Source organism: Homo sapiens, chromosome 15 (assembly GCF_000001405.40).
Source record: "Homo sapiens chromosome 15, GRCh38.p14 Primary Assembly".
Lineage (NCBI taxonomy): Eukaryota > Metazoa > Chordata > Mammalia > Primates > Hominidae > Homo > Homo sapiens.
The window spans coordinates 66,724,010-66,741,337 of NC_000015.10; the positions used below are offsets into that span (position 1 = coordinate 66,724,010).

Here is a 17,328-nt window from a genome sequence, read left to right on the forward strand (position 1 = left end):
ATAACCTTTCAAGTAGGAGGAACAGCTTGTGCAAAAGCAAGGAGGCATGCAGTTAATACCATATGTTCTAAGAGTTTGTGGCTAGAAAGTAAATAAGCGAGAGATGGAGGAATGGGGAAAGATGAATCCAGAGAGGCTGTCCTGAACACTAGAGGAATGAGCTGAAACAGCTGATCATGGTCATGGATACCAGGGAACCCTGGGATATACTTGGTCCTGAAGGACCTCATCTGGCTTCTAATACTGGGCCTAGCTCACAGCCAGGGAGTCATTGTGGAATGAATGAATGAATGAATGAATGAAAATGAATGAATGAATTTTTGCCTGGGGTAAAGAGATCCAGAGAGAGCCCTTAAAGACAGAAAGATCATCACACATATTTAATGATCACAGCTAACACAGAGTACCTGTGCCAGGTACTCTCTAAGTGCCATAAATATATTTATTCATGGGCTACTCCCAACCACTCTGAGGTAGCCACTTTTATTAGCCATATTAAAGGAAGAAGTAACAGGCTCAGAGAGGTTAAGTAACTTGCCCAAGGTCACCCAGCAAGAAAGCAATAGAGCTGAGATTGGAACCCAGGCAGTCTGTTGGGTTCCTCAGTGTCTGATAAGGCACCCTTGCTGGCCCTGGAAGATTCAGGACACAAACATGATTCTTGAGCTTCTGGGGCTTCTGTGTCCCTGGGTACCTGAGACTCAGCATGAACAATGATCACCCCAAGCCCCCCAGTGGCTCTGCTCATTGGGTGGTTGCTGAGTGGATAAATGAATGACGAGTGAGATGGCAGGTGGGTGGGTTTCTGAGGGGAGGCTGCTGGCGAGGCAGGGTGTCGGGTGCCTGTCCAGGGCTGGCTGCAGATGGCCCCTACCCCTCACTATACATTGGCGGCCTGCATCATCAGGGGAACCGGCAGGTTGTCTGAGGAGACCTTAAATTCCAGAAAATGTACTTGGTTGCGTCCAGCCTAATCACAACCATCTGCCTGCCGGGCTCTAGGGTCCCCCTCCTCCTATCCCCACTGGCATGCTTTCCCTGGGCGTCTGTAACAATCGGGAACTGCGCTCGAAAGTTTCCTTGTCAGGGTAGAGTGGCTGTTGCCAAGAGCTACTTCTTTGATGCAGAAAATATATCCTGAAGGCACTTTGTCAGATGTTTTTATATTAAACATTTTTCCTCCATGGCCCTTGGCTGCCAAGGGAAGCAGAGATGCATTGCTTTCCCAGTTGTCCTTTGTGGAAGGAATTCCTGATATTCATGGCCCGTTTCCCCATGCCCCCCAGTCAGGACCTGGCACCCCCTGCCAGAAAGGGTAAGACCTCGGGGCTGGCATCTCTGCAAAGCAGGAGCTGCTCTGGCCCCAGGGAGGGACCCTACCCTCACCATTTGGTAGCAGTTTCTAGATTTGGAAAAACAGAGGTCTCATGTCTGGAGCGGACATCAAAGCCACCATCCAGACTGCAAGGTGAATCATTGCCAAGACTTTAATTGATCTTTAAAAGGAGAGATGGGAGCTCACAGATAGGGATCTGGAAGTCATTTTGATCTCTTTGAGTTGTCCAGGGTAGTGCCAGTGCTGGACAGAGCAGGGAGAAGCTGGGCTGGGAGGCCTTCCATGCCAGGTGGGGAAGAAGGAGGGGAGGCCAGCTCTGTCACATGGGCTGAAATTGGGAGGGGCAGGGCACCATTTGGCTCCTCAGCAGCCATGGGAGACAGCTAAGGTGAGGGGCTTTGCTGGGCAGATGTCATCAGTGGGGAGCATTGGGAGAGGGGTTGGAGTGGGTACAGCTGTCTGACTCCAGCTTCCTTGGAGAAATGAGGTGAAATGGGGCACCCAGCAGGCACCGCTGCAGAACAGGTGGCCATGCTAGCCCCTCAGGGCCTGTGTCCTCCGAGTGTCCCAGGACTGGTTCTCCCCCACCTGCCACCCCTTCACTTACCTTCCTCAGTCCTCCTGCCCACTGCCTTATGTATGACATTCAGGGGAAATGTCCCTGGCCCTGCCACCCAGTGGCTGTGTGGTCTGCAAACCACACATCCACTCTGGACCTCAGGTTTGGCCCCTGAGGAGGCTACTGGGCCCGAGGGATGTGCAGGGTCACTCCCAGGCCCCTTCTCTGCACCTGCCCCCCACCCTGGGATCACTGGGGAGGAGGAGACACTGTTTCCAAAGTGAGGACTCTAGGCTGCTCCCTGAGGGCAGATGTTGGGAATGAGGCTTGGGGGACTTGGCTCTGAGGGCAGAGTCTGGTGTGTAGTAGGCGTTGGGGTTATGTTTGTGATTCACAGAGGGGTCCACTGCCCCTTCCCTCTGAGGGTTCAAAATAAAACAGGACAGACTGCACAGAGAGGCCAAGGCATCTCCACACCACCAGACTCTCTCAGCTGGGATTGTCTGTCTCAGGCCCAGGGAGACTCTGACTGGGGTTGGGGGGCTAGGTGATGAAATCTCTGGGGCTTCCTGTGCTGTTTGACTGAGAGGGAAGCCGAGGAGGGTGGAGAGAGGGCCCAGGCTCTTAAGTAGGCAGACCCTGTCTCCTGCTACCTGGCTGCCCAGCTGTCTTAGCTGCATTCTCCCTCACAGGGCGAAGGCCAGAGAGAGCTCAGAGGTTTCCTCTGAGTCTAAAGGTAGCACCACCCCTACCTGGGGGCCAGGAGGCCCAGCTCCTAGTCCTGACTCTGTTCCCTGTTTCTTGGTGGCCTCAAACTACTTCCACTTGGGCTTGTTCATGTATAAATGGGTCAGTTGGTCCAAATCATTGGTTCTCCACCCTCTTTGCACATCAATCCTGTGAAGAGTTTTGGAAAAGCTTAGACCCCATTCCAAAAATGGTTGGGGCTAGACTGGGCATTGGGATTTTTTTTTTTTTAAATTCCCCAGGTGACTCTAATGCGCAGCCTGGGCTAAGAACCCAAATCTAGATGGACCTGGAAGGATCGCAGAGCCCCCAGACTGTCTCCCACTCAAGGCAGGAGTCCTTTCTGTATCAGAGCCCCTGGCCGGTGCCTGATTACTTCTGGGCATAAGCATACATGGGATAAACAGCCTGTTCTTTTGTGAACTGTGCTGGCTCTTTTTTCTTCTTCTTCTTTTTTTTTTTTTTGAGACAGAGTCTCACTCACCATGTCACCCAGGCTGGAGTGCAGTGGCATGATCTCGGCTCACTGCAACCTCTGCCTGCCAGGTTCAAGTGATTCTCCTCTCTCAGCCTCCCGAGTAGCTGGGACTACAAGCGTGCGCCACCATGCCCGGCTAACTTTTGTATTTTTAGTAGAGATGGGGTTTCACCATGTTGGCCAGGCTGGTCTCGAACTCCTGGCCTCAAGTGATCCGCCTGGCTTGGCCTCCCAAAATGCTGAGATTACAGGTGTGAGCCACTGTGCCCAGCCATAAATGCTGTTTCTCCAATAAGTAGTGTGCCAGGGCGGCTGCCAGGGAGGCTGGGGTCAGAGCTGGGTTTGAAGGTGCAAGGTTTCACCAGGCTTAAGCAGGGAAAGGGCATCCCAGCTTAGGAAACTGTTGGGCAAAGGCAGGAAGATGTGAGGACACTTGTTCTGGGAATGGGGAGTGATTCTGGCAGGGCAGTAAGGAATGAGCCCCACAGGGAGAGGGCCTTGAATGCCACTTCAGGGAGGGCTGGACTTCTATCTGGTAGGTTAGGGATGGGCATCCCAGAAATCCTTTTAATTGATACACGGATGACTGTGGGCTTAGCGAATGGATTTATATGGCCCCAAAGTGTAGAGTTTTTTTGTTTGTTTAATGTAAACTTTTTACCAATACATAATACATGCAGAAAAGTGCAGATGTCACATGTGAACAATTTTCACAAAGTGAGCATTCTTTTTTTTTTTTAGAGATAGAGTGTTGCTCTTGTTGCCCAGGCTGGAGTGCAATGGCGCGATCTCCGCTCGCGGTAACCTCCGCCTCCTGGGTTCAAGCAATTCTCCTGCCTCAGCCTCCCCAAGTAGCTGGGATTACAGGCATGCACCACCACGCCCAGCTAATTTTGTATTTTTAGTAGAGATGGGGTTTCTCCATGTTGGTCAGGCTGGTCTTAAACTCCCGAACTCAGGTGATCCACCTGCCTTGGCCTCCCAAAGTGCTGGGATTACTGGCGTGAGCCACACCACGCCTGGCCAAAGTGAGCTTTCTTGTGTCACTATAGCCCAGATGAAGCAACAGACCATGACCTCAAAAGCCCCCTCTCATGTCCCCTTTCAGCCACTCCTCACTCCCCAAGTGTACCTCAGCTCTATCCTGACTTCTAACCCCATCGTGTAGTTTTCTGGTTTTTGAACCCGATGCACACAGAGGCATACCTTGTTGGCTTTTTGGAATATAGCTTCTTTAACTCAACAGAATATTCGTGGGATTCATCCTTTTGTTTTTTTTTTGTTTTTTGTTTTTTGAGGTGGAGTCTGGTTCTGTCGCCCAGGCTGGAATGCAGTGATGTGATCTCGGCTCACTGCAACCTCTGCCTCCCAGGTTCAAGCGATTCTCCTGCCTCAGCCTCCTGAGTAGCTGAGATTACAGGAGCATGCCACCACACCCAGCTAATTTTTGTATTTTTAGTAGAGATGGGGTTTCCCCATGTTGGTCAGGCTGGTCTCGAACTCCTGACCTCGTGATCTGCCCGCCTCGGCCTCGCAAAGCGCTGGGATTACAGGTGTGAGCCACTACACCTGGCCTCATCCATATTGTTGTTGTGTATTGCCGATTGCTCATTCTCACTGCCAGATAATATTCTGTGGGAATGGACTGTGATTCTACTAGTCTAACATATCCATTCTATTACTGATGGTTTCCAGTTATTGATAGTGCCCAGCTTTTGGTTTCTACCCATGATGTTACAATCAATACCTTATACCAGCCTTTTTGAGGACACAAGGTCATACTTCTCTTGGGTACATACCTGGGAGTGGAATTGCTGAGCTCTACATTATATGTGTGGTCAGCCTTATTAGATACTGTGCCAGACTGTTTTCCAAGACCACAGCGTTTTAGTCAGAAGCCCCTCTAGAGGGGATTTGGTTCATTTACCCTCTTACAGATGGGGCCCTGAGAGGGGCAGTGCCTGTGCTTGGTCCCCAGTTCCCAAGTGGCAGAGCTCGGCCTAGAGCAGGATCTCCCCTCTCTGCGTCCAGGACCTCTGCCCACACGGAGGTGGTGGCCATCCTGCTACTCAGACAAAACTGAGTCCTGTCCCCCTGCGTCTCCCTGCATCTCCCTGCATCCCCCGGCACCCCTGAGGCCGGATTTTAAGCTCCATAATGTCCTTTCCTAAGGCCCTGGGCAGTGCACTCTGGGAAAAACAAAAAGGAGAAAAGAGTGAAAGGAAACTAAACATTGGAAAAGAAGTGTGTTTCCAATAAACTGGGCCTTTCACCGGTAGCCAAAACATTACATTCCTGTACCCCGGGAGCAGCCGGCCGGGTCTGCCTCTCTGGGCTGTAAATCTTGCTGGGAGTTGGGTCAAGATTGTCCCCAGGACACACAGACGGGCAGTGTCCTTTGGGGCTTTGGATCCTTGGATTTCAGGGTGACAGCGTGGTGTTTTCAGCCGGTTGGCTGGGCCCCAGGCGAGGGGGCGCCGGGCCCCTCTGACAGCGTGGACTCCCAGGCCCTTCTGAGGGAGCACTGTGTGAGTTACCGTAAGGGATTTTCTTCCCTGGCCCGCCCCCTCCCTTTCTTGGGTGCTTTGATGGGTTTGAGGTGTTTATAGGCTTGATTCACGACCGAGTTACCAGGGTTTTCCACGGAAATAACTTATTAAAGGGGCCGTGCACACAGCGACATTGAAGTCTGGAGAGTGGTGTGCATCAAAGGCGGCACCGCGGCCGGGCCAGTCAGCATTTCGCTGAGCCCTCTGCTCCAGACGAGGGCCTGGGCCCGCAGAAGGGGCGGGGAGGGGGTGGGCCTGGGCTGCAGGAAAAACACTTGGGCTTAAGAAAACACTCGCCAGACAAACTCAAATTCAGGTCCATGGAAAAAGAAGGTGGGGAGGGAGTTAAAGCCCGAGATCCCAGACCAGCCCTCCGTCAGACCCTCTTGCCCAGATGCGGGGACACATGTGGGTGCCCCGCTGATGCATGGTGTGCGGATTCTCTGTTTTCACTCCTGCACCTCTCCTTGGTGCAGGGCTGTTCCTTGGAAGGAAATGCCAAGGATGCGGATTGCCCACTGTCTTTTGACAGGGATGGATGGAGGGATAGGCTGGGTCATTGGGGAGAAGTTGGGGTAGAGGGATTTGCTGGTTCCTCTCTTTCTGACAGCTTCTTTTCTTTGATTTTGTTACATCTGATTTGTCGGTAAGGTTCATGAAAAGCCTTCCTTCTCCAGGAAGCCTTCAGGGATTGCACAGCCCACAGTGGCCTCTCTCTTCTGAACCTTCAGTGGCTTTCATCTCTATACTGCTCCCTTGTAGTGCATTGAATTTGCATTGAGTTTATCTGCTGGCCCAGTCAGACTGTGAGTGACTTTTGGGCAGGACCTTGGTCTGCATTTGTGTCTTGAGGTTGTAACCAGGAAACTGGTGGCCCTGGCGCCTAGCATGGCCCACCTCATGCAGGAGGACATGGTGTGGAGTCATTACCCATGAGTCAGTCCTGGCTTTTTCATAGTAATAATGACAACAGCAGTAGGAGTAGTAATAACAGTGGCTAAAAGATGAGTACAAAACAGATGGCAGACACTGTGCTGTTTCTTGTTCCTTAAGCTTATTTAGTCCTACCAACAAGACGAGTTCTATTGTAACTTATCTCCACTTGATAGATGAAAAAACTGAGGCTCAGAGGGGAGAGGTAATTTGCCCAGTGGCACCAAGCTGGTAAATACAGAGCTGGGGTTTGAACCCAGGCCTGCCTGCCTCCAGAGCTTGTGTCCTTGGATGAGTCACTTTATTTTCTGGGCCAGAATGGTTGTCACATTCTATCAGTGAGCTCAGAGACTGGGTGGAGAAATGAGAAGCCCTCATGAGGCTGTGTAGAGCTTGTTGTTTTTGTTTTGGTTTATTAAGATAAAATCAACATACAGTAAAATTTTGTGGAAGTGTATTATTATATGAATTTTTATAATTATGTAACCATTATTGCACAATCAAGATAGAGAACATTTCTATTACCCTTAAAAGTTCCTTGGTGAGGCCGGGCGCGGTGGCTCATGCCTGTTATCCCAGCACTTTGGGAGGCCGAGGCGGGCGGATCACGAGGTCAGGAGATCGAGACCACCCCGGCTAAAACGGTGAAACCCCGTCTCTACTAAAAATACAAAAAATTAGCCGGGCGTAGTGGCGGGCGCCTGTAGTCCCAGCTACTTGGGAGGCTGAGGCAGGAGAATGGCGTGAACCCGGGAGGCGGAGCTTGCAGTGAGCCGAGATCCCGCCACTGCACTCCAGCCTGGGCAACAGAGCGAGACTCCGTCTCAAAAAAAAAAAAAAAAAGTTCCTTGGTGAGTCTTTGTAGTCAGCCCAACCCCAACCCTGAGCTGCTGGCATTCAGCCATCTGATTTCTGTCTCTATAGTTTTGCTTTTTCCAGACCATCTTCCAAATGTAATTATATAGCAAATAGCCCTTTGTACCTTTTTTAAAACTAGTATACTGCTTTGAGATTCATCCATGTTGTTTCTTGGATGGACATTTGGGTTATTTCCAGTTTTTTTGGCTACAAAGGTTTGTGTTCAGATTTTTGTGTGAACATGGATTTCAGTTCACTTGAGTAAACGCCTAGGAGTAGGATTGCTGGGTATATGGTTGAAAGTACATATAACTTTACAACAGGCACTGCTTTCCGAAGTGGTTGTACCATTTTGCAATCCCAACAGCAGTATATGAGAATTCTAGTTACTCCATATCCTCCCCAGCACTTGATATGATCAGTTTGTTTTTATTTGAGTTATTCTAATCATAAGCGGTAGTATCTCATTGTGACTTTTTTTTTTTTTTTTTTGAGACAGAGTCTCGTGCCATCACCCAGGCTAGAGTGCAGTGGTGTGATCTTGGCTCACTGTAACCTCTGCCTCCCGGGTTCAAGTGATTCTTGTGTCTCAGCCTCTCGAGTAGCTGGGACTGCAGGCATGCGCCACCACACCCAGCTAATTTTTTGTATTTTTTGTAGAGGTGGGGTTTTACCATGTTGGCCAGGCTGGTCTTGAACTCTTGGTTTCAAGCGATCTGCCCACCTCAGCCAAAGTGCTGGGATTACAGACATGAGCCACCATGCCTGGCCTTGTGGTTTTAAATCACCTTCCTAATGATGAATGATGTTGGACATGTTTTCATGTGCTAACTTGCCATCTGTATATCTTCTTTGGTGAAGTGTCTGTTCAAATCTTTGCACTTCCCCTCCTCCCCCAAAGAAACAGCGTCTCACTCTGTCACCCAGGCTGGAGTACAGTGGTACAGCCATGGCTCACTGTAACCCTGAACTCCTGGCTCAAGTGATCCTCATGTCTCAGCCTCCCAAGTAGATGTGACTACAGCTGTGTCCCACTGTATCTGGCCAAGTTTTATTTTATTTTATATATTTTTCTAGAGACAGAGTCTTGCTATGTTGCCGAGGCTGGTCTCGAACTCCTGGCCTCAGATGATCCTCCTGTCTTGGCCTCCCATGGTGCTGGGATTGCAGGTGTGAGCCATCTCACCTGGCCAATTTTTAAATATTGGGTTGTTTGTTTTCTTATTATTGAATTTTGAGGGTTCTTTACATATTCTAGTTAGCAGCCATTTAAAATATATGTGTTTTGCAAGTATTTCCTCTCAGTCTGTGTCTTGTCTTTTTTTAAATGAAGTCTTTTGAAGGTTTTAATTTTGCTGAAATTCAATTTATCAGTTGTTTCTTTTCATGCTTTTTATGTCAGTTATATGAATAATTCTGCCAAACCCAAGGACAGAAATTTTTTTTTTATGTTTTCTTCTAGAAGTTTTATAGTTTTAGGTTTTACATTTAGGTTTATAATCCATGTTGAGTTAATTTTTTATAAGGTATAAATATGAGTCTAGGTTCTTTTTTTTCATATAGAGGTTGTTCTATTATTGTATCATTTGTTGAAACGACTACTCTTTTCTTTTTGAATTAACTTTGTCTAAAATAGTTGATATATATGTGTGGTTCTCTTTCTGGATTCTTAACTTTGTCCCATGGTCTACGTGTCTATCCTTTTACCAATACTGCACTGTCTTGGTTGCTGTAGCTTATTATAGTAAGTTTTGAAATCAGGTCATGTGAGTCTTTTGTCTTTTTCAAAGTTGTTTTGGCTAGTCTAGGCATTTGCATATGTATATAAATTTTAGAATTAGCTGTTGATTTCTACAAAAAAGGCCTGCTAGGGTTTTGATTGGGATTGCATTGAATCTGTTGATGAATTTGAGCATCATTGTCATTTTGACAATATTGGTTCTTATAGTCAATGAACATAATATATCTCTCCATATATTTAGGTCTTTGATTTTTCTCATCAATGATTTGTAGTTTTCAACACACAGATCTTGCACATTATTGTTAAACTTGTACTTAGGTAATTCATGTTTCTTGGTGTTATTGTAAATGTTACTTTTAAACATTCTCCAGTTATTTATTGCTAGTGTATAGAAATATAATTGATTTTTATATACTGACCATATATGCATAGGACTTTCATGGCTTGGATGCTTGGTGTTGAGTGTGTTTTTTCAGGGGAAGAGTTGTAAAGTGAAGAATTTATTTATTTCTTCTGGATTCCCAGAAACAAATGTGACACTTTGGGCAAGTTGCCTCAGCCTTTGGGTGTGAGTTTCTTGTCTGTAAAATGGAAGGCAATGGAGAAAACTGGATTCAAAGACCTGGTGAGGTCCCATCCCGCTTGGGCACTGATGTTCACATAAACTGCAGGATGGGAGATTTGGAGGAGAGCCGAGTCCTTGTCATGGGGAATCCTTTCCTCATTTTACAGAACTGACAGGGCAGGGCACTTGGCCTGCAGTTGCACAGAGGCTGATGAAAGGACAGGTCTCCTGTGCCCGAGCTGGGGTCCTGCACCCTGATTTGGACTGGGAAAGGCAACCCAGCATGGTGACTGGGAGGCGACTCCACAGCCGGGAGGGAGGGAGAGGCCGGAGAGGCGGCCATCAGTGCTTGCAGCCAGGAGGCCCAAGGCTCTTCCGGGAGCTCTGACCCTCAGGAGTGGCCAGTTCACATTTGGCTGTTTTCAGAGTAGAAAAGCACTGTGCTTGGAAATTCGGGTTTTGGCTGACCTCACCCCGCGGTACTGAGTGTGGAGTTTAAAGGCCTTTGTAACTCTTTGGTTTGGAACTGGGTTCTGGGCATGGCAAGGGGAAAACACTGGAACGCATTAATGCTCATTCCATTCGCCCTGCCTCTGGGAGAGGGAAGCAACCTCCTCTCCCTTGGTCACTGCAGACAGCTCGGGAAACTGAAGGGGGAACAGAGCAGGGAGCGGAGGTCGAGGGAGGGGAAGAGCCTTTTTAGTCGGAGAGGCCCTAGCCTGGCATTTATTTAACAGTGCCAGGAGCTGCTCTAAGTACTTGGCACTACCCTTTAGCTTTGACTTTTATGACACCCTATAAGTTATTTCATTTTACAGATAAAGAAACTGAGGCTCAGAGAGGTTTCACTTACTTACCAGAGTCACACAGATAGCAAGTGAAAGAGCTGCGATGAGAACCCAATTTTTCCCCAAACTCAAAAGCTGGTGTGATGGGAAGTGACTGTTTATTAGGTAGACGGCTTCCATTTAGGATGATGAAAAAGCTCTGGAACTAGATAGGGTGGTGGTTGTACAACATTGTGAATGTACTTAATGCCACTGAACTATGCACATTAAAACTATGTATGTTAAGTTGGTAAGTTTTATGTTATGTGTATTTTACCATATTTTTAAATAAAAGCTGTTGTGCCTTCCATGCTGCCTCCTGCCGTAGCAGGTTCCATGGCATGGTAGAGTGTGGACCCTCATGGCTGTGTCTCCCAGCAGGTAGGACCGCCCAGGGTCCCAGCAGAAGGGTGTGCGGGGGCTGTGGCCAGCAGAATAGCCACGGCCAGCTCGGCCTTTTCATGCCATCCCCTGCTTTTAGGATACAGAGAAACTCAGGCCCTGGCAGCGTCATGATGAGGATGCCAGGACACCATCCCAGAGCTCTTGGTCCACACAAAAGAGGTGGGACCTGAGGTGACCATGGCCTGCTGGCCACCAAAGCCACACCATAGTCCAGGGCTGGGTGGGAGCCAGAGTGGATGGCCGGGTGCCTGCCTATTTGGCCTCTGGTCTCTGTCCCTTGGCACTGTTGGGAGTTATGACTCTTTCCCCAACAAGAGCCTTCTCCTTTGGGAGGGCAATCAGGGAAGGAAGTCAAAACTTAACTGCCTGTATTTTTTTAGAGATGCATCATGAAGGATGTAGGGGGAAATGATGTGAGGTCCTTCAGCCAAAACAAACAAGCCAAACACCAAATAAAAGGGGCTAGATGAAGCAAGTGTGGCAAAAATCTTGATAACTGTTGAATCTGGGTGAGAGGTAGTTTAGGTTGGGTTCTTAGAAGCACAGCCTGAGATGGGATTCAGATGCACAAAGTTTATTGGGGGGCGTGTTCTCAGAAGAAAGGAATGAGGGGAGCATGATGGGGCAGCAAGAATGTGGTCTCCACTGGAGTCCAGCTCAGCCTGATCCCTGGGGACGTGGAGAGGGAACTGCTCCTCTGAATGGTCACACTTTGAGGTGTGGGGCCCAGCCCTTTGTTCCATGTCAGTTGGTCATTGGCTGTAGGCAGACAAGCAGGCACGTGTGCATGCACACACACATACACACACCCCACATTGGAGGGAGGCATCATTGCCTGACCCAGGACAATTCTCCCGATAAAGGGACATCTGTGAGCCATTGCCCCAAAACTCCCAGTAGCTAGAGGCGAAGAGGACCTGGACAGGGTGTGTCACGGTATCCGCGACATGGGTGTATGGGGGTTTATTGTTACTATTCTTTCACTTTTGGTGATGCTTGAAATTTTTCCTAAAAAATAAAAAACCTCTACTAGAACAAAGTTCTGAGGAGGATGGAAGCAAAGCCACCCACGGAGTGCTGGCCGTATGCCAAGCATCTTGCTGCCTTCTTCCATCTCGGTGATTTCACCGATACCAATGGGGAAATTAAACTCAGGAAAGTTAAAGGACCAGCTCTAGGTGTAGGGTTGCCAGATTTAGCAAAAACAAACAAAAAACAGGATGCCCATTTATATTTGAATTTCAGAATACAATGAAAAAAGTTTCACATGAGTTGTAGCGTGATGTGTCCCATCCAATACTGGGGACATACGCATACTAAAAAGTGATTTGCTGTTTATCAGAAACTCAGATTTTAACTGGGCGTCCTATATTTTGTCTGATAACACTACCTAGGTTACACATCTTGTAAATGGTGGAGCTAAGATTCGTAGTGAGGTGGGGCTGACCCCGAAGCTTATGTTTTTCACCCCTGATGGGTACAGCACTAACAAAAGGTTTTTGGAGGCATTCTCTCACCAGGGCCTCATGAGGGTGCTGCCTGACAGCAGAGCCTATTAGGATCATTCGGACAGCTTTGAAAAAATATTGATGCCTGGGCTCCACCCCAGACCAGTTACATCAGAGTCCCTGTTAGACACTCTCCCCTTCCCCCTCAGTTCCTTCTCTTTTTTTTTTTTGAGATGGAATCTCGCTCTGGCACCAGAGCGGAGTGTAGTGGTGTGATCTTGGCTCACTGCAACCTCTGCCCCACCCTGGGTTCAAGTGATTCTCCTGCCTCAGCCTCCTGAGTAGTTGGGATTACAGGCATCCGCCACCACGCCCAGCTAATTTTTGTATTTTTAGTAGAGACGGGGTTTCACCATGTTGGCCAGGATGGTCTCAATCTCTCGACCTCATGATCCACCCACCTCGGCCTCCCAAAGTGCTGGGATTACAGGCATGAGCCGCTGCACCTGGCTCCCTCAGTTCCTTTTTAAAGCTCTGCAGGTGAATCTAACATGCACCCAGGGCCAAGGATCATCGGCCTGGGCCTCCAGCTCTCATTGTTCATGAATTTGGGAAGGAATAAACCAAGGGGGAAGGCAGAGAGCACAGGTCTCCGGAGGAGCTGGCATCACTTCTCTTTTCAGCATCCTCCCCGGGTCCCTGCCTCCAGCAGGCCCAGGGTCAGCCTGGCACACAGGCTCTGCCCCAAACTGCCTGCATGCTAGGCTTCTTCACAGCCTTTGCCAGTCCCTCTACTTGGAATGCCCTGCCAGGCTGGTTTTACCCATCTGGCTGGCTCCTCCTGTTCCTTCTGAAGGTCCCACACATATCACCTCTCTCTGGAGCCTGACCCCACAGCAGAGCTGGCCACCCCATCCTTCATTGACTCATGGCACAGGCTTCAGGAGTAGCACTCTGCTAGCAGAAGTGAGCGCGGGTCGGCTCACCCACTTTGCTGCTAGCTCAGTACTTCTCCACCTCCGACGGTAGTGCCTGGCATGGTGTAGGCACTTGGCACATGGGTGTTGAATTGGAGGAAGGAGGAAGGGTTTTGTTGGGTGAGTGGGGTCCCGTCTTTCCTCCTCACCCCATTGGCCCTGGAGAGATCCCCCTTTCCCACCACTTCCTCCTTGGCATATAAGTTCTGTTTGCCTGGAGCCTAGGCCCTTTGCAGCCCAAAGGTAAACAGGTTTATAACGACTTTAGAGAAAAAGGAAAAAAAAAAAAGCAAGTGAGCCAGGAAGTCATGCAATTCCAGCTTCAGGCCTGGGGAGGTGGAAAAAGGCCCGTGTGGCAAACCCAGAGCCTGGGACCCAAGCCCCAGTGACGCGGAGCTGAGCCTCCACTTCCCAGAACTTCACTCTGGATAAACATGGAAGTGAGGAGTGCCGCCTCCTCCCTTCTGAAATAGGGTTGGGAGGAGGAGAAGGGTGAGGACCCTGGTTAGGAGAGGGAACCCTGGGGTACCTGCTCTATGGTAATAATAAAAAGGCTGATACAATTGACTCTCTGGACTATTTTTGAGTGTTCAGTTCAGTGGCGTCAAGGACATTTACATTGCTATGCTACCATCACCACCATCTATCCACAGAACTCTTTGAATCTTGCAAAGGGAGAATGGCTTTGTAAAGCCTCATATTTTATCCTGTGGAAAATGTACACTGAGAGGCTATTTTTATACCAATAGCTGGGGACACAGATGAAGAAAACAGCCCCCTGCCCGTGGGAAGCTCCTACGCTTGTGGGCCAGGCAATCCCAGGACAGACAGGCCCATGGAGCCAGGGAAGGCTGCTCGAGGGAGGATGGTGAAGCACAGCTGGAGGTGTGCAGCGGGTGCATACTCCAGGCTTAGCTCCGAACAGGACACTGGGGCTGTGCACACGTGCCACTCTCATACACGAATCTGTTCGTGTCACTGTGGACATGGCAGGGGGTTGTGAGAGGAGTGTCAACGATCCTCCAGGAAGTTTGGAAAATAGAAAAATATTGCCTGTTCCACAACCGCCATGCCCAGTTTCCTTTCTGTCCTTCAATTTCTTGTCTCATGCACATATTTCCACTTGATCACAGCCCAGTGGCAGAGAAGATAACATTTTCCTCTCTGCCCTCCTCACCTTACGTCACATTAAACACTTTTCCATGTTGCACCCAGGCTTCCAAATGTCTACGAATAACCCTGCTTTGTCCAGGGAGCGTGTCTGCCATGAATTCCCCTCCAAGCGACAGGGTGGGTGTGGGAGTGGCTGTGTCGGGGGCCAGAGAGCGGGTTCTGATGGGTGGGCTGAAATGGAGGAGGGATGCTTTGGCAGTTTGAGGGCATCTATCTGGAGCAAGGTCATGGATGGTGGAGGCCGAGACTGTGTAGGTGGTATCTTTGAGTCACTGCAGTGCATTCACAGGCGTCCTTCTCTGGGTCCTGTATCACCTGAGAGTAGCTAAGGCCCTCATCTGGCTGCAAATGGGACCCGGGTGTGGATCGTGCTGTCCTGCAGCCTTTTGGACACTAGAGGTGACCAGTGAATGTTTAGCATTATGTGTCCATCTTCCCAGGGCTCTAAGAGAGGAACCTTACCCAGGCCTTCTTTTTCTTCTTCTTTTTTTTTTTTTTTTATTGAGACGGAGTCTTGCCCTGTCACCCAGGCTGGAGTGCAATAGTGCAGTCTCGGCTCACTGCAACCTCCGCCTCCCAGGTTCAAGTGATTCTCCTGCCTCAGCCTCCCAAGTAGCTAGGATTACAGGCACCTGCCATCACGCCTGGCTAATTTTTGTATTTTTAGTAGAGACGGGGTTTTACCATGTTGGCCAGGCTGATCTAGAACTCCTGACCTCGTGATCTGCCCACCTTGGCCTCCCAAAGTGCTGGGATTACAGATGTGAGCCACCGTGCCTGGCCTTACCCAGGCCTTCTAACTGCCAACACAGAGCCCCTTCTGTCCCACATGGAGCACGGGTGGGCAGGCAGGCCGTCAAGAGCCACTCAGGGACTGCAGGTGTGCATTGTTAAGAGCCCTTGGTGAGGGGTGCAGAAGGTGTTGGCGGAGGGGAGGGGGCACGGGGCTGGCAGTGGCATCTTTGTGGTTTGCTTTAAATATACCTATTTGCTCTTGTTTTGCAAAGAAGCATGTGGCATATTAGGGAAAACTTGTACCTATTTGCTCTTGTTTTGCAAAGAAGCATGTGGCATATTAGGGAAAACTTGGAAAGCTGAGAAAAGTGCAAAGAGATGCGGGGAGGGAAATCCCATAATCTGACTGTCCAGAGATAACCACTGTTAACATTTTGCTGTATTCTGTTTAAATTAAAAGAAAAATTTTAATTAGTTTTTTTAAGAGATGGGCCTCGCTTTGTTGCCCAGGGTAGCCTCGAACTATGAGGCTCCAGCGCTCCTCCCACCTCAGCCTTCCGAGTAGCTGGGACCACAGGAACGCACCACTGCACCTGGCTGTTATGTTAAAAAATACAGTTTTGCGTCCTGCCTTTTCTCCTCAGCATTACGTAAATATTTTCCTGTGTCATTAACATTCTTCATAAACATTGTTTTTGATGGCTGCGTTCTATTCTGGTCTATGGATCTACTAGGGCTGAGTTCTTAGCTTGTGAGTTGGACACCTGGTCTCCCAGGTGGGAGAAAGAGCCCCAGCTGGGAGGTGGGGTCTGCCCACATGGCAGGCCGTGGCACTCACCCTGGCAGTCCTCCCCTGTGCATTCCTGGCTATGCTACATCCTGCCCAGTCCTGTGGACATCCAGCATTATCCATTCCCCTCTTTGAGCTTCTGCAGCCCTGGGCATGAATTGAAGGCTCTTTCAGGAAGCCTTCTCTAGTCACCCAGCTTGGTGTGGCCAGTGGGTATTTGCCATCCTCTCTGAACTCCCGAGAAGGAGACACATCTGATCCTTAGTACATGCTGGCGAGATGGCATGGTGGGATCGATCCTGCCATGTTTGGCCTCTTTTTCTTGATTTCTTTGCAGAGCCTGGCTTTAGAGTAACACTTTGCCATTCACTAGCTGTGTGACCTTGGGCAAATTCTTCAACCTCTCTGAGTCTTGGTGTTTCTTCTGTAAAATAAGGGTTGTAAAATAGTGGACCGTTTGCCTGGTTCTTGTGAAAACCAAGAGATTATATGCCAGGTGCTGAGTACTGTGCTAGGGACATGTTGGGTGCTTGATAAGGGATGGGGGTTATTCTGAGTGTCAGCGGTGGGACTGTTTTATCCTGCCATCTCCCCTTTCACCCACAGGAATGAGCAGCCCAGTGGGTAAAGGTTGGCCAGAACTATAGTTGACTCAACTACAGTTGAGTGAATGATCTTTGCTTGCTTTTCTTCCTCCCACACTTTGGTTGGGGAAACTGAGGCCACCCTGAAGTTCCCACCTACACCTCATGACTTTCTGAGATCCCTGGAGGGTGGCTTAGGAAATGTCTTTGGAGATTTGGGAACACACTGGATACATCAGTTGGTGAGCCAGGGAAATTAGCAGGAACGAGCTCATTTCGATAGCAATGAGCTGAGTCTCCCTCCAGCTGCCAGACATTTACGAGGCTGGCTGGGTGCCGGCGGCCGGAGGCCTCCAATGGCCCTCATCCCTCTGCCTTCCGGCTGGAAATAATTCGTGTTTAAAAAATAACAATAATAAAAAAAAAATCTCCATCTTCTCTGGCCTTCTGGTTTCTTTGGGCCCAGGTGGGGAGATGGTGGATGCCTTTGCCCTGTAAGCAGCTCTCTGTTCAGGGCAACCAGACAAGAAAGGCCATCCCTGGCCCTCCCCAACCCTCCCTCATCTGCCAGAAGATTGGGCTACTATACCCCATTTGAGGTGGTTTGCCTCAAACCCCACCCT

General features: G+C 49.3%; 1 protein-coding gene across 3 annotated transcripts in view, besides 1 other annotated feature; it reads left to right on the plus strand.

The window, feature by feature from the left end:
* Positions 1 to 17,328, plus strand: part of SMAD6 (SMAD family member 6) — an 80,614-nt gene that overhangs the window by 21,774 nt on the left and 41,512 nt on the right. The gene's annotated exons all lie outside the window — the stretch shown is intronic.
* Positions 10,084 to 10,584: an enhancer, noted in NCBI's record as "H3K4me1 hESC enhancer chr15:67026431-67026931 (GRCh37/hg19 assembly coordinates)". NCBI's record gives its function as "activates a minimal SCP1, AML or CMV promoter by ChIP-STARR-seq in primed H9 embryonic stem cells {active_cell/tissue: H9 hESC(primed)}" and the evidence as "EXISTENCE:reporter gene assay evidence [ECO:0000049][PMID:30033119]".